At 57.2% G+C, this 20,153-nt stretch overlaps 1 protein-coding gene across 3 annotated transcripts, besides 1 other annotated feature; it reads left to right on the top strand.

Moving 5' to 3' along the window:
• Positions 1–20,153: part of a sequence alteration artifact (region identified as an assembly artifact by the Genome Reference Consortium. This region falsely duplicates sequence located at GRCh38 chr21:44095806-44253496) that runs on past both edges of the window.
• On the top strand, positions 1,792–13,820 carry LOC102724023 (glutamine amidotransferase class 1 domain containing 3B). 3 transcript variants are annotated; one of them, NM_001363758.2, is made up of 7 exons: positions 1,792–1,947; positions 2,211–2,263; positions 4,169–4,282; positions 5,286–5,405; positions 8,358–8,450; positions 11,314–11,470; positions 12,930–13,820. In NM_001363758.2, the coding sequence occupies exons 1-7, from the start codon at positions 1,807–1,809 to the stop codon at positions 13,056–13,058; spliced, it is 807 nt and encodes a 268-aa protein (NP_001350687.1). In that variant the 5' UTR covers positions 1,792–1,806; the 3' UTR covers positions 13,059–13,820. The 3 variants fall into 3 exon arrangements, with proteins under 3 accessions (NP_001350687.1, NP_001350690.1, NP_001350689.1); NM_001363761.2 differs by lacking the exon at positions 2,211–2,263; NM_001363760.2 differs by lacking the exon at positions 8,358–8,450.

Genomic DNA, 20,153 nt, shown 5'->3' with positions numbered 1-20,153 from the left:
CAGACGAGAGAGAATCCTTAGCTATCGCCTACCCAAAGCACAAGTTCCAGTGTTCCCCTCCCTTGCCTCGCCCTTTTCCGTGAAACAATTTCCAGCGTTCCCCCTCCTCGCCTCACCCTTTTCTGTGTCACATGTGCATGGCGATGGACACCTGAGTAGTCGCCCCTGGGACAACTGGAGCTGCGGCTCTGCAGTGGGGTCTGGGAGCTCCCGGCCAGGGGCAGCTCCCGCACACTTGGTAGAGACAGGGTCCTGGCCCCCACACCGACTGAGTGAGAGTCTGCATTCGGCATTTCCTTTCTGAGTGGCGCTTGGTGTTTTTTTGTGCCATCCCACAACCCCATCGCTCCCACCAGCTGATGCTCCCTGGCTGGCCGCTCCCCAGGAGCTGAGAAGCCTGAAGAGGGCCAGGCACGGAGGAGCAGGAACGAGGACAGTCAAATGTGCCAAGCTTGTCTTTGGTTGTAACTGGTAATGTCCCATGTCTGTTATTCTAGTTCCCCACTATCTTGCAAGGATTGGCAGTAAAGTCCTAGTGATGGACAACGCGGCAGTGGGGAAAGTGACAGCCGTGGCTAGATCATCAGATGTGTCTGTAGAATCCGGTGTGTCCCTGTGAACATCCGCCAGCAGTAACCATTCACATTATTTCAAAAACCTGCATTATTAGGTTGAAAATGGGTAAATCGGGGAAAAAGCCAGCACTTATCCAGCTATTCCTCTGTGAACTAACCCATGCATAACAAACAGATTTTTTTAATGGAAGAATTCCAGCTAGGACCCGAGCAGCTGGGATCTTCACACTGACCGTCCATGCTGTGAACGTAAAAAACAAAAACAAAAAAACAAACCCAAACAGTGCCCGGGAATGGTGGCTCACGCCTGTAATCCCAGCACTTTGGGAGTCCGAGGCGGGCAGATCACCTGAGCTCGGGAGTTCAAGACCAGCCAGACCAACATGGAGAAACCCCGTCTCTACTAAAAATACAAAATTAGCCTGGCGTGGTGGCGCATGCCTGTAGTCCCAGCTACTTGGGAGGCTGAGGCAGAAGAGTCGCTTGAACCTGGGAGGCGGAGGTTGCGTTGAGCCGACTTCGCGCCATTGCACTCCAGCCCGGGCAACAAGAGGGAAACTCCGTCTCAAAAAAAAAAAAAAAAAAACCCAAACAGAATCGGCGGCTCACTTGCCCCCAGACTAACCCAGATCAAGCCCCTGGGTGGAACTGCAGTTTCCAGGATACAACATCCCGGGGTCAGTAAAACCCGGAGGGGTCGCTCCGTGGGAGCCGGAGCCGCGAGGAGACAGTCATGGAAGCGGAGGGGTAGTCCTGACCCCGCGTGGGTCCTGACGCCGAGATTAAGACGAGTGGCCATTTAGGAGGATGTGGACCCTGGACGCTCGTGGTGAGTTAAGGATGAGACGGAGGTAAGGTAAGAAGCGCCGGACTGAGCCGCCCCGAGGCAGCCTTGCTCTGCGGATGGCGGAAAGGGTGCGCCGCCTGTGGAGGCGTCCGATGGGGGCGGGGCTGGGGACCCCGGGAGTCACCAGCATCCCTCAGCCTCGAGCACGAGCCCTCAGCCACCACCGGAAGGAAGACAGGGTTCCCGGAACTCTATTCGGAGGCTCTGCGCAGGCGCGGCCCCCGCCCACCGGCGCACTCACTGGATAGGGCTGAGACGGGGGCGGGTCTTGGCTCCGCCCCGAAGGCTGCGCAGGCGCAGTCCCGACGAGCAACGCGTTTGTAGAGGGGTGGGTGCGCACGCTCTGTCCCTGCGTGACCTTCCGACCCCGCTGTCCTCACCGCAATGGCGGCTGTGAGGGCCCTGGTGGCCTCGAGGCTCGCTGCGGCATCTGCATTCACGTCCCTGTCCCCCGGCGGTCGGACGCCTTCCCAGCGCGCAGCCCTTCACCTCTCCGTGCCGCGCCCCGCGGCCAGGGTCGCGCTGGTGAGTGGACGGAGGGGGTGAGGTCAGCTCCCGCCTCCAGAGATCAGCCTTCGCTGTTCTCTGCCCAAGGTCGGCCCCTCTTCCTAGGTCCGCTCCCGCCGCCCCACGTCGGCTCCTTCACCCCAAGTCAGCTCCTGCGGCCCAGGTCGGCCCCATTTTCCCGGGTCAGCGCCCGCGGCCCAGGTCGGCCCCTTTCCCCCCAGTCAACTCCCGCCGCCCAGGTCGGCCCCTTTCCCCCGGGTCAGCTCCCGCTCCTCTCGCAGGTGCTGTCTGGATGCGGAGTCTACGATGGGACCGAGATCCACGAGGCCTCGGCGTAAGTCCTCAGGGGCAGCTGGTCCTCCACCCCGGGGGCCTCGAGAAGGCCTCTCCACCAGTGAAGTTTACTCTTTTTTGAACAGCTTAGAGAAAGCATGTATTTTATTTTATTTTTACTTTTTGTCTTTTGAGACAGCGCCCAGTCTGGAGTGCAATGGCGCGATCTTGGCTCACTGCGGCCTCCGCCTCCTGGGTTCAAGCGATTCTCCTGCCTCAGCCTTCCGAGTAGCTGGGACTACAAGCATGCACCACCACACCCAACTAATTTGTGTATTTTTGGTAGATACGGAGTTTCACCATGTTGGCCAGGCTGGTCTCAAACTCCTGACCTCAAGTGATCCTCCCGCTTTGGCCTCCCAAAGTGCTGGGATTACAGGCATGAGCCACTGCACCCGGCCGAGAGAGCTTGTATTTTAAATACCCTATTCTTGGCTAAAAAAAAGCAAAAACGACTTGCAAAACCCAGGGAGACGCTAAGAAAGAACAGTTTTTAAGTGTCGCTTATACTGTCACCTAGAGCCTAGAAATGACTTAGCATTTCACTTGAGTGTTTTTCAGGACACACACATTTTGAAAACACTGAGATCACACTCACCCGTGTTTTGCAAATGTTTCTGACGCATGGGAAGTAATTCCCATTCATTCAGTTCTCAACATCATTTTAACAGTTGCGTGGTATTTCTGGGTCCTAGACAGGTTACTGTTTACGTAACTGGTCAGCTGTTGCTGAGTGCTTGGTGGCCTGATTTCCTGTGCTACTGGAAATGACTGCAGGCCGAACCAGTAGGGCAGGAGGCCACCACGCGTGCCAGGTACCTGTAGTTCCCATGTGGTTCAGGGTGAACTGGAGAGGGGAGAGCTGGGTGGTGGCGAAAGGGGTGTCAGGCCATGGAGAGTGGCCTGAGGCTGGTGGCTTTGTGGGTGGCCCACCTTGGCTGGTTGGAGTTGGCACTAGGCAGAGTGAGCTGGGGGAAAGGGCCAGGATGTGTTTCATGATTTGGCCTTGGTGGGATAGAAAATAGCCCCAGAATAGCTTGAGCTCTCCCAGGCAGAACGGCAGGGTCTTGTGTCTGGGGTGTCTGGGTGGATTTCTTATGGGTAGCGGAACCCAAGTGCCAGGGCCAGGTGCTGACCTCTCCCTCTGGCAAGTCACTGCACTTCATGCCTCGGTTTCCTCCTCCACGTAAGGGGCAGTGAGGGCTTAGTGTGTGGGTGGGCTTAGCCACCTATCTCCTGTTGGCACTGGGAGTTGCGGATGCCAGCGTGAGCCCCCATAATGTCAGCTGTTGTCCCCAGGAGGAGCTTCTGTTGCCCTTGCCCTTGGGGAGATGGAGCTGCCTGGCCTGTGGTGTTGTCCTGGGGTCTCTTGTGTCTCTCCCACCATCTGTGATGGGAAAGTTGAGGGAGACTAGAAATTGAACTAAGTAGTGACCGAAAGCCCCGTCACACCGTCTGTGCACGTGGCACTCTGAGCACACTGCTGCTTCTCACTCTTGGTGCTTGCAGCAAGCAACTGGAGGAGGGCAGCCAGGCCCTGGGTGTAGGTAGAGCACTCAGCAGCCGGGGACCCGCACGCCTCCAGGCTGTGCCCTCAGTGGAGTCACCCGGCCCCCATACCCCAGTTTGCAAAGGGAGCTGTTGGGACCAGCTGATCTCCATAGCCCACTTCTGAGGGTTTGTCATAGTCGTAACCCACCAACCGACAGTGAATTGGAATGGGGGTGTGGGGGACGTTTGGCTTGGTATGGAACCAACTGTAACTTTTTGCAGAGCAAGTAAGATATTAATATACATTAGGAATTTGCTCCTGGTACTTAGCTAAAATCCTGTTTTTAAAAATGTGTTAACACAAATCTGAGTGGGGCACGTTTTGAAGAGTTGTCTCTGGTTTTCCCCCGTGCAGGATCCTGGTGCACCTGAGCCGTGGAGGGGCTGAAGTCCAGATCTTTGCTCCTGACGTCCCTCAGATGCACGTGATTGACCACACCAAGGGGCAGCCGTCCGAAGGCGAGAGCAGGTGTGGGGGTGGGATTGGAACTTGCTTCTTGTCTACCTCCCACGGTGCAGCCTTTTTTTGCTGGCTTAGCTTAAACCAAGTCTTGTGTGCAAATGAACGTCCTTCTGAGCAGCTGTGCTCGGGCTGTTCCGGAAGTAATGCTGCCAAGGCTCAGGAGTGCCTTCCTTCCAGTACTCACAGAAGGACTGAAAATGGCGACCGGATCGCTTCCCACTGAGTCAGGCTGCTCATACCTTGGTCTTAAGCAAAGGTGGTGGTTCTCAGCTTGGTCGCCCACCTTCTTCCCCTGTCTGGGCTCCAGATCTGTTTTGCTGGTTCCCAGCAGCATGTCTGTTACTGCGGTGTGTGTGGTTCTGGCCTGTGTGGCCTGAGATCCCCTTCCCTTGCCTGTCCTGCCTGACAGCCCTGTGCAGGCCATTCCAAGGTGCCTTCCAACTGGCCTCGGACCACGAGAGGTCGGAGCTGGAGATTCGAGGAAGAAGCCATAGCTGCCTCCTGGGGCTGTGCTTCTCACCAGTGGGGACCCCTGTGATTTCTTTTCCTGCCTGGGACCCTGGCTTCTGCACCTGGACTTGCACCTTCGGCCCCCACACCTGGGGGCTAGCAGCTTCCTGCGGTGGCTGGCCTTCGGGTTGCTTCACTGGTCCTGAGTCCTGGCTTCTTACCTTCCCCTCTGAGTCCCACCGTCCTGATGAGTGCACAGAATTCTGTCTGCTTTAGACACTCGGAGAGACTTCCATTTCCCATGGGCCTTGACTGCAGAAGATTCAGAGTGATTTGGCGCAGGTTCTGAAGTGCTGATCGGAAGAGCCCAGCATAGATTTAGCGTTGCTAGAACCATGTTGTCTTTCCAGGTAGTGACCAAACATGCTGACCTGGAAGTAAGTCCCCGTGTGGCTGAGAGCCACGTGTGTGGAGCGTGTTGCCTGTGGGCTGTGCCCCTGCCGCGCTCCACAGTCCTTCACCTGCATGCTGAGGCTTTTTGCCCTGTGCTCTTTCCCAGGAATGTTTTGACCGAGTCTGCGAGGATCGCCCGTGGCAAAATCACAGACCTGGCCAACCTCAGTGCAGCCAACCATGATGCTGCCATCTTTCCAGGAGGCTTTGGAGCGGCTAAAAACCTGTGCGTATTTGAGCTCCAAGGTCTTCCGCTTTCCATGTGGAGCAGATGGGAAGGGGGTGCACCTGTCTGCTGTCCAATGTGGTCAGTGGAGCGGCGATGGGAGGGGGTGGTGATAGGAGCAGTCTCTGGGTTTAGGGTCTGGGCAGGGCACGTGCCTGCCCTCTGACTTGGGAGCTGTTCTTAGGGTTGGGTCTTAGGTAGCGTTGTAGCGAGCCATGCTTTTGTTTCTGCTTCTCTGCTGCCTCTTCTCTCAGCATTCCTGGTACCCAGCAGCTTGTCAGAGTGGGTTTGGGGCTCCCTCTTATCTCATCACTGTGCTGTAGGTCTCGTCACGTTGAAATCAGTCTCTGAGTATTTACTCCTTGCAAGTGCCAGTTTTTTTTCTCTCTCTCTCTCTTTTTTTTTTTTTTTTTCTGTAGAGATGAGGTCTTGGTCTGTTGCCCAGGCAGGGATGCAGTGGCACGATCCTAGTTCACTGCAGCCATGATCTCCTGGGCTCAAGCCATCCTCCAGCCTCATCCTCCTGAGTAGCCGAGACTATAGGCGCATGTCACCATGCCCATGGTTTTGTTTTTTTTTTTTTTGGCCATGTATGTAGCCCAAATTGGTCTGGAACTTCTGGGCTCGAGTAACCCTCCTGCCTCCCAAAGTGCTGGGATTCCAGGCCTGAGCCACCGCGCCTGGCCCCAATTCTCTTATGGAACCTTGCAGGATCAGAAATGGGTTTCCTTCTTGGTAGTTTGGGCGGCGGTCCTGACAGGAAGAAGGGAGGCCGCCTTGGCGTGGCTGTTTTGGTAGCTGGACCGTGAATCATGGAGGCCTGGCCGGCTCCCACACGGTGGCGTCCTTGAGTTCCAGATCCTCTTTCTGTTCTCTGTGTCTCCTCTCTCTCTTTGCACATTCATGGAGGTTCTCTGGGCACCGCCCCCATGGCCCTGCCTGAGAGGTGGAGGTGGTGCCAGGCTGACCCTCCAGGGACAGCTCTGCCACCTGCAGGAGCACTGGCCGCAGTGCATCGGAGCGTGCAGGTGGCTTCTGTGCCATGGTGTGGGTGGCAGCCCCAGCACGGCCGGCCCCGGTCGGCAGCTCCTGTTTCAAGGGCAGGTTGGAGGCTGGCTGGCCGCTTGCCCCACCCTGGGCAGCCTGCACCCAGAGTCGAGGGGTAGGCAGTCTCCATCCGAAGAATGCGCCCCTCCTTATCCCGAAACCTCAGAGGCCTCCTTCCTCAGATGCCAGCTGTTTTCTCAGTGCCCTTGGCCGTGCCCTCACCCCTCTCTCACCGGAAGCCCCACCCCAGCCTGTCGTCCCCGGTCTCCTGAAAGCCAGCAAGCCTCGTCGGTGCCGCCCACACCCCTGACCTCACGCAGCCCCACGTCAGGCTCGATCTTTTGTCCAGTTGTCCCTGCGTCGCTGCCGTCTCCACGAGGCTCTGACCACTGACACCGTGTGTGGCGGGGCGCAGGGGCAGCTGGAGGGTGTGCTGGGGGCTCCGTGCCCTGGCATGGCTCCTCCACATTTTGCCAACCCAGAGGCACAGGCGTGAGGTGTGTGGTGGTTCTCAGGGTCAGTGGGTCTTGGCCTTGGCTTTCAAGGTGTTGATGGGCCCTGGGACTGATGTGCCCGTGTGTCTGAGCCCACGTCCCCTGGGCGAAGCTCCCATTTTCACTGACCTGTCCAGAGCGTTCTGGGTGAGCCTGCCCTGCGTGTCCATGGTGCGGCGCGCTCTAATGAGCTGCAGCCGTGGCCACTCTGCACCCTCTGAGACAGTCACCCATGGGGACGGCGAACACCCACTGCCTCCAGAAGATTCCCAGCACTCTGCCAGCAAAGCCATGTGGAAAATGCTGGGGCAGAGGACTGGGGTGCGTGAGGGTGGCGTAGAGCCCAGGGGTGGGTTCGTGGGAAGGTGTGTCCACTTGTAGATTTGGTGGCATTGCCAGATCACACGCCCCATGGGCAGTGTGGAGAGACCTCCCCTGCCCCGCGTGCCCTCCACAGCTCCTGCTCCTCGGCCTGAGGTGTGGATGCTGGTGTCGCAGGTAAACTGGCGTTTCTTTCACGGTCATCGAAGCAAGAGTGCTTGGTATGCCTGGAGGCCGACTGCGTTTCTTTTTTTGGGAACTCCTGGAGTTTCCTGCTGCCCCTTTGTTTTAAGGAAAAACTCTCACACCGTGTTTCTCCTCCTCCCACCACAACAGTTGTCCACACAGAAGGTGGGTGTGAAGGGTCTTCCCCATGCACCACGCAGGGGTCGCTGCTGCCTTCTAATTCAGTTCCGACAGTATGGACCCGGGGTAGCGTCCGATCGCACGGGTTGAGGGCTCCGTCCCCAAAACTGCCCTCTGACACATACCGGTAAACTGTCTGAGCCTCTGGAACTGACCAGTTGACTTCAAGTTGGGGTTCCCACAACCCCGTTTGCTGGCGTGGCTCACAGTGCTCAGGGAAACATGACGTCAGCATTCTCCCCCGGGGAGTGGGGGACCCTCTCAGGAGAGGGTCCTGAGACCCACAGTCAGAAAGGCGGGGAACATTGGAGTCCTGCTTTGGGGCAGGTAAAGGGCAGGCGGGAAGGTCAGAGGCTGCCCGAGGCCCGACACAGCCAACGTCGTAACAGAAAGCTAACAAGCAGCACGGGAGTTAGGAGCCGGAAACCAGCGTCTGAGTCTCAGCACCGCAGCCCGGGTTCTGCCAGCTGCTCCGGAAGGTTCCAGGGCGTGGGCCCTCTCGCCCTGGTGGCCTCCTGCTGCACCACTTCCTGATCCTCCTGCTTCCTATGCTTATTTCTGTTTAAAAAACAGGAAAATATGTTCACATCAAACGCGCATATGTGCAGCCATGCCCATGTCCCTTGCTGCAGCTGACTGAGGGTCTGGAGCTGTGCCTAGGAAGCCCCCCAGGAATAGACCCTGGTTGTGAGGCTGTCTGAGGAGGCCTTTTGTCTCCCGGTAGGAGCACGTTTGCCGTGGACGGGAAAGATTGCAAGGTGAATAAAGAAGTGGAGCGTGTCCTGAAGGAGTTCCACCAGGCCGGGAAGCCCATCGGGTGTGTACAGCCGTGCAGGCCTCGGGGAGGGAGGGAGGAGGGTGCGTGGGCCCGCGGCCTCTGTTCTCAGCCAGGAGCTGCCGCTGATCCTGAAAACTCACAGCTGGTTTTCTTGTTTTAACTGAGGGGATTTCACACGATGTCACTGGTGACTTAACAGGAAGGAGAGGCACACTGCACTTCCCTAGAGGAGGCCTGGAATTCTCTTGGCTCCCAGAGGTGTCCCTAGGCAGTCCCTCAGGACCCCTATCCTTTACCAGACCCCTTCTCCCAAGCCCCTTAGCCACAGTACCCCCAACCCCGCTGACTTCTGGCCAGTCACTGCAGCACGTGCTCCATCCCTGACGCCATCCACTCCCAGCGGCCTCCCTCCTGGGGAGCCACAGCCAACCACGCCCCTTTGTCCCTGCTCAGACAAAGCCTGGGTCCTGAGGTTGGCGGCACGAGTAGGGCGCCCACTCCTTCATCCACGTAAGCGCCTTGGCTTACGTGGCGGGTCGCAGCCCCGCAGGGAGTGTGTGCTCTTCAGCGTCTGCTGCCGGGAAGTCACTCTCAGATGTGTGAGGGTGACCCAGCAAGGCCGGGTTCCGCCTCGGCAGGTGTGATGCTTCCACGAGCCTCCCGGCACCTGCTCCTTGGTGGTCCTGGAACGCGGCGCTGTGCTGTCCAGGTCTCAGCTGCGTCTGGTGCTGGCAGGGCGAGAGCCGCACTTGCGTGGGTGAACATCAGTGAGGCGCACTCGCGATGGCCGCTCACTACCGAGTTCTGTCAGCCGAACAAGGATGAGGATCTATCGGAATCCTCTGTCTCCCCACCCACAGTCACTCACTTAAGGACCTGCCTGGTCACTGTCCAGGGAGGCCCCTAAAGTGGAGCCTCAGGAAGAGGTGCAGGCTCAGAGCTCCTGAAGGAGGTCCCTGCTGCAGCCGTGTCACAGCCGGGGTGAAGGTTTCGCCCATGGTCTCCACCTCGGGATCCCGTCCTTGTCAGAGAAGTGTTCCTTGGATGAGCGCCCAGAGGGAGGAGCCCATGGCCCTTTCTTCTGTGACTGATTAAAAATCTCGATGAAACAAGACAGCCCCTGGCAGGTGAACCACTGCCTCTGAGCATGCCTCCCCTGAAAACAGTGTGGGGCGCAAGCCCATCTCCTCCCCAATCCAGCCATGAGGCTCCCCTGGAAACAGCACAGGGCGCAAGCCTGTCTCCTCCCCGGTCCAGCCATGAGGCTCCCCTGAAAACTGCAGGGCACAAGCCCGTCTGCTCCCCGGTCCAGCCATGGGGCTTCCGTGCACGGTGACCCACAGGCTTTTTTCCTGAGGAAACCTAAATCCTTTCCCACTGGCCCCACCCACCCCTCAGCCTGGTGTCAGAGGCCTGCGTGGCCAGCCAGGGGCTGTTAGGCGGCCCAGCCGCTCACTGCTGGGACCCCTTCCTTGAATGCAGTAGTCGAGGTGGGCGCTGGGCTGTGCCAGGAGCCACTGTGGCATCTGTAGCTGGCAGTTGATGGCTGGGCGGCTGCACGCAGCGTCGGGAGCTGCTGAGAACCTGCTTCCTGGACTTTCTGCCTGCGCAGAGGGCGGCAGGGGGGTTTCATCTCATAGGCAGCCAGAAGTTGCTTCAGGACATGCAGTTTTGGGGGGCGGGTTTGTTTTGAGAGTATCGCTCTGTTGCCCAGGCTGGAGTGATCTTGGCTCACTGCAACCTCCGCCTCCCGGGGTCAAGCAATTCTCCTGCCTCAGCCTCCCAAGTAGCTGGGATTACAGGTGTCTGCCACCAGGCCGAACTTTTGTAATTTTAATAGAGACAAGTTTTCGCCATGTTAGTCAGGCTGGTCTCGAACTCCCGACCTCAGGTGTTCTGCCTGCCTCAGCTGCCCAAAGTGCTGGGATTACAGGCATGAGCCACTGCACCTGGCTGTGAAATGTGTTTTTAACAGTGTTTCGTTACAGCTCACGGTAGCAGTTTCCACCTGGGCCTGTCGGGAGTGGGTAGGACTGTAGACAGCGGGAGGAGGGATGAAGGGTGCGGGGTGTTGAGGGCAGGGTGGGGCCTGACAGCTGTGGGCTACACCACAGGTTGCCAGGGGATGGGGCTGCTGTTAATGAGGCCGTACTCCTTCCACTGTTGCCCCTGGGTGGCCATGAGGCGCTGGACGACACAGGTCACTGAAGGCCCTGCTGTGGGCACAGTGCCTGGCACACAGGGGCCTCTGTTGACTTGGCAGGGAAGGGTTCCTGATGAAGCAGAAGCAGGTCCCAGGGGTGGGTGTGGCAGGACCCTCAGTTTCAGGGCTGCTGCGGCCTGTGCGTCAGGGTCAGGGGCGTGCGCCCACCAGCCTGCACTTGTTGAGAGTTGTGCTGCAGGTCAGAGGCTGGCGAGGCTGCTCCTGGCCCATTGTGCCTCCTGTAGAAGGGGGGCTGGTGTGAATGAGAAGTGCAGCTGTGTTATCTATTGCTGGGTCACAGACCACCCCACAACTCAGGGCTGGGGCAGCCGCACATCATTACCCTCTCTGTGAGTGGACTTTGGCAGCCCGGGACTCTCGCCAGTCTGGGGTGTCCTGGGGCTTGGGGCTTAGCCCATGGCTGTTGGGGGTTCCCCTCAGGGGTCCTTGGCCTGGTGCTTGAGTGCCTGCAGGGCGTGCTTGGCGGGGAGTGGGGCTGAGGACACCTCACTCTCAGCCTTGAGTCACCTGGTGCCACCTCCATCACATCCCATGGGCCACAGCCTTCTGGCAGCGCAGGCTCACAGGGGGCAGGGTCGGCAGGGCTCCCGTGGCAGGGCAGCCTGGGGTCATGGCGAGGGTAATTTCTGTTCTGCAGGCCATGCAGCCTGCCTGACCCGTGTTCTTTTCGCCTTTCAGCTTGTGCTGCATTGCACCTGTCCTCGCGGCCAAGGTGCTCAGAGGCGTCGAGGTGACTGTGGGCCACGAGCAGGAGGAAGGTGGCAAGTGGCCTTATGCCGGGACCGCAGAGGCCATCAAGGCCCTGGGTGCCAAGCACTGCGTGAAGGAAGTGGTCATATCCTTCCTGGTAGCCAGGCCCGGCCCGCTGTCGTGCTTGTCCCTGAGACGTGCATAGGGACGCCCCTCCCTCCGGGCTGTCTTGGTGGGTGGCCTCTTCACCGGGAGCTGCACCTGCTGCTCTCCCTGTGGGGCCTCCCCCAGTGGGCACCGCAGCCATGTGTCTAAGGGCAGAGAGCAGATGGCTGTGACAGCCCAGCTGGTGTGAGGTGGGTCACAGACACGTCAGAAGCGCAGCTCTGGTGCGTGGTTGGCAGATCCGGCAGATCCAGGTCCCTTGCCTGACTGTTTAGTCTGCTCAGCAACACCCAGGCAGCCACACTCCGGGCCCAGCGGGGGGAGGGTGAGGAAAGAGTGTGTGCGAGGTGTGGAGGGAGAGCAGCCGGGCGTGCAGGAGGCGGGGGCTTCCTGAGATGCTGGGGGAAAGCGGCCGGGTGTGCAGGAGAAGGGGCTTCCTGGCTTCATTTGGGCGGAAGTTCTCAGGCCAGTTTGGGTGGCCAGGTGATTCAGCCAGCCTTGCGGCCCCCAGCCCCTCCTGTTGAGGTGTGTACCCTGAGTTCTGAGATGATGGACCAAGAACGCCAGCGGGGCTGTTGCCCAGGGAGATTTGGAGGGAGGCTCCTGGAAGGCCCTGCCTGGATCTGGGAGAATGTCCATGTGAGCCCAACTGAGAGAACAGAACACTCCGGGGTGCCGGAAGGCACTGGAATGAGTAGAGCATGGACCCGGTCCCCTGCAGGTGTTGTTCTGAAGGGTGCAGTTCCTCTCAATGGGGCAGCTTTTTTCTCACAGGCAGCTTCAGACGTCAGGCCCCGTCTCCCTCCCTGCGGCTTTCCTGCTGGGCAGGAGCGCAGTGCAAGGCTGGCCCCAGGCCTCTGACTGCTTGCAGGAAGATAGGGGCACGTGTCTTGGGTGGTGTGGAGGCCTGGCCAGTGGTTACATGCGTGGTGTTGGGGAGGCTCAGGTCTGTGGCTGGCCGGCCCCAGTTGTGCCACCTGCTGCCCTGTTGCCTGTTGCCCTGCCCCATGAGGACCGGCTCCTTCACGGCCAGTTCTTCATCTGAAAAGCGGAGGTGCTGCCACTGCCTCCCGTGGTGGTTGTGAGCACCCCAGGCATGTGTGCGCCCCCATGGCGGGGCAGCTCGTGGCCATGTGTGGGTGTTGGGCCTGTGTGATGCTGGCATGAAAGGTGCCCCGTTCCCTGGAATTTCCCGCTGCTTTCTTCCTCTAGAATGCATGTGAATTGGGAACAGGTTCCTTCTTATGTTGTTCAGCAGCATAAATCATACAGAAAGCAGGGTCCTGCCGGCACAGACTGCACCAGGAGCGACTTCTCCTCTTCCAAGTTATCTGAGAACAAAGTTAGGACACGCGGTGAGGGTGGGGGAGGGGCCGGGGCTCCACACCTGAAAGTCCCTCAGGTCCGTGCTGGGTGGCTTTTTCCGTAACTCTGCACACGAAGCTCACGTGGACCAGAAAAACAAGGTGGTCACGACCCCAGCCTTCATGTGCGAGACGGCACTCCACTACATCCATGATGGGATCGGAGCCATGGTGAGGAAGGTGCTGGAACTCACTGGAAAGTGACGCGCATGGACGGGGCCCAGCTAGGCGCCAGGACTTGGCCTCACCCTCTGGCTGAGGAGCTGTCGGCTGCTTTCCATCCAGCTGGGAGTCTGGCAGGCCCTTTTTTTTTTTTCTTTGCCGAAACCTGCAGGCGTTCTCTCTCTAAGGAGGATGTGCTGCAGTGCATGGGGGATGTTTCTTCCTGGGTGTGGCTGGGCTGCTCTCACATACAGAGGCCGAGGGGCCAATTCGTTCTCTGCCACAGGGACTTGCCTCACTGTGTCCCAAAAACAAATCGCAGCCAGCTTTTCCAGAAATAGAAAATTCTGCCGTCTGAGGTTTTATACTTCAGGTTAGTTAGTTTTTGGAAGGAAGAACATTTTTAGGTTTGCAAGCCTCCTGATCAGGAAACCAGAAATACCACATTTATGGACCATGAAAGGTTGGTTCTTGACTCTGAAGGGACTTTTGAGTTAATCAGCGTAAGGGGATTTCTAAAGCAGGCAATCCCTGTAGCCGCAGAGAATAAACGCCTTCCCAAAATGGCAACTTCCCACAGCCACATTTCAGACCTGCTGAGACTGCTGAGTGAGGAATGGCAGTGAGGTTTCTTCAATTAGTCTCAGTTCTCTTAATTTTCAGGAAGAAAGGGAAATTGCAGCTCCTCAGCCCCCAGGATTGACCTCTGGGGAGTGATGGTAGCGTTGGTGCCAGGCCGTGGGTTCAGGTGTGGCAGAAGCTTGCAGATGCGTCCGAAGGGAAATAAAGTGTGTTGGCGTTAGACTTTGTGCTGCATTCATCTGTGTGTTCAGGGTTGTTTGGGGAAGAAAACATTTGGGGTGGGAGTCAGGTGTCTGCACGCTTCACTCAGTGTCACATATCTGTTGCTGTTTGGGTCTGTCTCTGCCTGAGCAGCCAGGGCCAGGCCAGCCTGAGAGGCCCCACGCTGGGTGGGTGGCAGGAGCTGCCCAGTGTTGGGTGGCGGTGTGGGAAACGCCCACTCTGGCTGCTGGCGTGGCTGTTCCGCGTGGTCTGGTTTGCACCTCCCTGTGTGTCAGGTGCTGGGCCCGGAATGGGGGTGCAGGCCCTGGTCCCACAAGACTCGAACCCTCAATTGCACTGGTACCCACCACACCCCCTCGGCCCTCCCCACCCACTGCATGGAATCAGCGGATTCATTCTACCGCCTTGAGAGGGCGTGGGGGGCCCATGGGTAAGGCAGGAAGGCCCCGGTGCACCCTGCATCGGGTCTCAGCCTGACACTTCTGGTTCTTCCTCCGTGGGAGCTGGGTTCTCCAGTGGCCTTCCTCCCACTGAGGCCGGGCCTCAGGAAGTCCTCACGGGCGCCCACGCCCGCTGCAAACGCCCACAGCACTCGCCTTGGGGCCAGGATTACCCTGTCCCCAGCAGCGGAGGAGCCTCCCATGTCCAGGGTAAGGTGGGGCTCCTCCCCTTTCTCATAGGCTGGTAGGGACACATTTTGCATGGCTGGAGGGGGGGTACCCGTATACCACGCATGTTTATTCACGTGTGTGTGAGTGTATGGAAAAGTGCACAAGTCACAAGCATTCACTTTGGGGTTTCCACAAAGCAAATACGCAAAACCATCGCTCGGGCCTGGAACGGTGGCACTGTCCCCAGAGCCTCTCAGCCTCCCGCAGGCACTGGCTGCGTGCTTGTTTGCGCGCTCTCTCTGAGGTGATCCAGTGTGGCGCCCCACACGCAGGTGCTTCTGCTGGGCCAGGCCTGTCCTCACCTGCATCTGCCCTTAGCCCAGGTGGCCCTGTGGGTCCTCAGTGTCCCCACTTGCAGATGAGGCTTTGCTCCCCCCAGGGCCCTGCAGCTTGTAGGGCTTGGCTGGGACTCAGCTCCGGGCAGCGCAGCACCAGAACCCCAGCCCTAGAAATAGATCTTGGGACGTTGGGAAGCCCAGAGAGGGGCCGTGACAGAACCGGAGAGCTCGGTCCTGGGTTCACTGCAGGAGAGTTTGGGCCTGGGTTCACTGGACAGTGACTCCGTGGCTGCTGCGTGCCAGGCACCTTCAGGTACCAAGGGCACTGTCACGAGCATGCCCTCGTCCTGGAGTTCAGGTGGGGGCAGCCAGTATGTGGCCCGGTGAGCCATGGAGTCCCCCTGGCAGTGGTGGGGGTGTGGACATGCTGGGAAGGAGGATGGCAGTGCCAGGCATGCATAAAGTGATCAAGGAAGGGGACAAGGGGTCCAGTGGGAACAGGAGCTAACCAGGGGTTCAAGGTCAGGGCGTGGGGAGGGAGGGGCGCTGGTGACATGCATGGTTCCCGGGACCAGCCCGTCCTGCCATCCCAGAGGCCTCTGCATCCCACAGGCTGTGCACCCTGGAACGTGGTTGTGGCTTTAGGTGCTGCCACCAGGGGGCGTGGCAGAACTGTCTTTGGGGCTGACCACGGGCAGGCGGCCCCTCACCAAGCTGCTTCCTGTTGGTGCCATCAGAGTCTGGGCTATCCTCTCCTGAAGCCCTCTCTGGTCTCCACATGCCCCACCCCTTTGCCCTGTCCCTCTTATTTCCTTCCAGGGTACCTCCTCACCTCCTGTCCAGGTCACCAGAGCTTCACCTGTGGACATGCCCCATTCCCTGATAATCCTTTCTTCATTCTCCATTTCTCCACCACTCCCAGCTCCCCCAGCACTCCCAGCTGCTCCACACTCAGTCCCCTGCTCCACACTCAGCCCCCAGCTCCCCCACCATTCCCAGCTGCTCCACACTCAGCCCCCAGCACCCCCACCACTCCCAGCTGCTCCACACTCAACCCCCAGCTCCCCCACCACTCCCAGCTCCTCCACAGTCAACCCCCAGCTCCCCCACCACTCCCAGCTCCTCCACACTCAACCCCCAGCACCCCCACCACTCCCAGCTGCTCCATACTCAACCCCCAGCTCCCCCACCACTCCCAGCTCCTCCACACTCAACCCCCAGCTCCCCCACCACTCCCAGCTCCTCCACACTCAACCCCCAACCCCCCCACCACTCCCAGCTGCTTCTCCATTCCCACCTGTTCTTCCTTCCTGGTGTTCTTCTCCCCAGACCTGGTCTGACTGTCCCTCCCAGTCCCTCATTACCTGGGGATGGACGTCTTCCACTCTGACCTCCAGGCTCTCTTGAAGGCTGCTCCTTCCCTTTCTCCCCCTGAGCTCCTTGCTGTCTCAGACCCCTGCCCAAGGAGGCCTGTAACTCCAGCCCTTCTCTGTGCACTACACTTGGAGTGGGGCACCGCCCACTCAGCATATCCAGACTGGGCCCCCCACGCGTACTTCTTCCTGTCTCTGTCTTGGGGGCCATCATGTGCCCAGATCCCCATGAGAAACTGGTCCCAGCCGCCTGTTTCTCCCTGCCCCTCCCTCTGCCGCCAGCTATGGGTTTTGCCTCCAAATATGTCCAAGCCACCCCCTTCCTCTCCTGTGCCTAGACCGGGTTCATGCCTACTCCCCACATCTGGTCCTGACACCTTCCATCCCTCCCTCCTGGGACGACCAGCCCCCCTCTTTGTATTACTGGCTCCCCTTGTCTCTCGGCTCTCAGCATCACTCTGCAGAGAGGACTTCCCAGCACGCCCTGGCTGAGGAGGGGTCCCTGGGCCACTCGCTGCACAGATCTCGAGGTCTGTGAGTACACATGTATCACAGCTTTGTCATCTGTCTCCCCACTGCACTGGGAGTGTCAGGAGAGAGGATGGGGGCCTCATGGGTGCCCTCCACCTTCCCCGGCCAGGCCCGGGCTCTGAGGTGGTGGGCTCTGGGCATGAGCAGGCCAGTGCGTGCTGCGAGGCCCAAGGCTCACGGACCTGACACGCCCACCTTGGTGCCCGCCCTCTCCCAGGCCCCTCCCACCTACTGCTGGCCAGCGTCTTCCTCTAGGGCTCCCTCAACATCACCTTTTCTGTTTTGTTTTAAATAGACTTTATTTTCTAGTGCAGTCTTAGCTTCATGGCAAAATGGAGCAGAAGGTACAGAGAGTCCCACACACTCCCTGCCCCCACGCATGCACGGCCTCCCTCACCATCACCCCCGCACACCCCCGCCCGCCAGAGCACACATTTATTAAGGCAGCCAACCCACACGGATGCGCCATCACCCCGAGTCCACGGCATCCGTTAGAGCCCACTCTTGGTGTTAGCCATTCCGTAGATTCGGACAAATGTAGGACACGGGTCCGCCATTTACAGAGAATGCAAAATGGTTTCATTGACCTGAAAACCCTTGGCTCTGCCCGTTCCTCCCCCACCCTCCACCCCCGTAACCACTGATGGTTTTTACTGTCCCCACAGTTTTGCCTTTTCCAGAATGTCATGTGGTTGGACTCATGCACTATGTGGCCTTTTCTGATTGACTCCTTTCGCCTGGTAATAGCATTTATATTTCCTCTGTGTGTTTTCATGGCTTGACAGCTCATTTCTTTTTAGTGCCGAATAATATTCCATTGTTTGGCTCTACCACAGTTTATCCATTTACCCTCTCTCAAGAGCATCTTAGGCTTGTCCCAGTTTGGGGCATTTATGAATAAAGCTGCTATAAACACCGGTGTGGAGGTTTTGGTGTGGACACACATTTTCACCTCTTTTGGGTAAATCCCAAAGGGGATTTACCAGGGAGTGTGATTGCCGGATCATATGGTGAGAGTTTTGCAAGAAGCTGCCAAACTGTCTTCCCAAGTGGCTGCACCATTTTGTGTTCCCACCAGCAATGAATGGGCGTTCCTGTGGCTTCACGTCCTCACCAGCATTTGGTGGTGTTCGTGTTTTGGATTTTGGCCAGCTGATAGGTGTGTAGTGGTATATTGTTTTAATTTGCTATTTCCTACTGACATATGATGCTGAGCCCCTTTTCATGGCTTATTTACCATCTGCGTATCTTCTTTGGTGAGGTATCTGCTCAGAATTTTTGCCTATTTTTAAATTGGTTGTCCCTTTTCTTTTTGTTGAGTTGTAAGAGTTGTTTGTAAATTTTGGCTCGTAATCCTTTCATGGATATCTCATTTCTAGTTATTTTCTCCAGGTTTGGGGCTTGTTCTTCTTATTCTCTTGACAGTGCCTTCACAGAGCAGTTTTTAATCTTAATGAAATCGAGTTTCTCACTGGTTTCTTCTTGGATAGTGGTCCGCCCCCGCCTTATTAAAAAAAGAAAGAAAGAAAGAAACAGGGTCTCACTGTGTTGCCCAGGCTGGTCCCAAACTCCTGGGCTCAACTGATCCTCCTGCCTCAACCTTCCAAAGTGCTGGGATGCCAGGTGGGAGCCACTGGGCTCAGTCTTGTGTTTTTAAAACTCATCACCAAACCCTCGGTCATCTAGATTTTCTCCTGTGTTATCTTCTAGGAGTTTGATAGTTTTGCATTTCACATTTAGGTCTGTGATCATTCTGAGTGAATTGCTGTAGGGGTGGAATGTGTGTGTTGGGATTCATTTTGGGAATGTGAACGCCCCGTTGTTTGGCTCCATTTGGTGGAGGCTGTGCCCCATTGCATTGCTTTTGCCGCTTTGTCACAGACCAGTTGACTCTCCATGCGGATTTGTTTCTGGGCTCTCTCTCCGCTTTCACTGGTCTGTTTTGCCAACACCCTGTCGTGAGTACTGTAGCTTTATAGTAAGTCCGGAGCCTGCCAAGTCTTCAGAGTTGTAATCTGCCCCTATCAGATGTCCAAACCATGCCCCCAGGGCCCTGAGATCAGGTCCCCAGGAGGGCCTGGCTGGAGTACCCATAGCCCTGAGCGCCAGGAGAGCAGGGTCTGCCTGCTGTGGGAGGTCTGTCCTCGCGAGGTCGGACACCCAGCCCTGGTTGTCCTGGTCCACCTGGTATGACCCTGCCCTGTTCCTGCTTCTTCCAAGCACCCGTGACCCTGGGAAGCCTGTCACAAACACCTCCCTGGACAACCCATGCTACAGAGTGCACCACGCCAATTGCCACCACAGCCTCAGGCAGCACTGTCACCCACAGCAGAGGCCGCCCTCACAATCTCACACTTCAGGAGCCCAGGTGGGACGCTAGCCAGGGTCCCTAGAGGTGGCTTTGCCGGCCCAGGCAGCCCCATCTCTCCGGGACCCCACTGCTCCCTGGGTCCAGCCCAGGCCCTGATTCAGCAGCAGCTCCATAAAGAAGTAAAACGAGAATATTCACGGGGCCCACACTTAGTGGACTCCTGTCACATGGTGTCCAGCATGGCTCGTGGGTGAGGACAGCAAAACCACCAAGAAATGACCCGAGAGGCCAACAGCAGCTCCCTGGGAATGCCACACTCTCCAGGAAGACATAGCAACTCTGAAACACACAACTTAGGTAGAAATCTAACAAGATATTTACAAGATCTGTGAGGAAAATTATAAAACTTTAATAAGTCAAAGAGGTAAAATGGAAAGATATTCCACACCCCTTATTATGCATAACTCCTTTTATTCCTGATAAGCTTCTTTGCTCTGAAGTGTGCTCTGAAATTAATATAGCTATTCCAGCTTTCTTGTGATTAATGTGAGTATGGTATTTCTTCCTCTGTTCATTTACTTTTAATCTACATGTGTCTATTTATTTATTTATTTATTTATTTAGAGACAGAGTCTTGCTCTGCCACCCATCTCTACAGTGATGAGATCATGGCTCACTGCAACCTCCGCCTCCCGGGTTCAAGTGATTCTCCTGCCTCAGCCACCTGAGTAGCTGGTCTACAGGCACAAGCCACCACGCCTGGCTAATTTTTGTATTTTTAGTAGAGATGGGGTTTTGCCGTGTTGGCCAGGCTGGTCACGAACTCCTGACCTCAAGTGATCCGCCCGCCTCTGCCATCCAAAGTGCTGGGGTTACAGGCGTGAGCCACTGCGCCCAGCCATTGTTTTTATTTTTAAAGTGGGTTTTGTGTAGATAACATATAGTTAGGTCTTATTTTTTGATCCGTTTTGACAATCTCTGTCTTTTAATTGGTGCATTTATACCACTGACATTCAAAGTCACTGTTGATATAGTTGGATTAATATCTACCATGTTTGTTCCTATTTTCTATTTTTTGTTTTTGTTTTTTATTTTTTCTGCCTTTTGTGGTTTTAATTGACCATTTTATGATTTTATTTTCTATTCTTTCTTAGACATCAATTATACTT

Source organism: Homo sapiens, chromosome 21 (assembly GCF_000001405.40).
Source record: "Homo sapiens chromosome 21, GRCh38.p14 Primary Assembly".
NCBI lineage: Eukaryota > Metazoa > Chordata > Mammalia > Primates > Hominidae > Homo > Homo sapiens.
The sequence above is the reverse complement of the archived record's forward strand: the minus strand, read 5'-3'. Positions and strand labels throughout refer to the sequence as shown.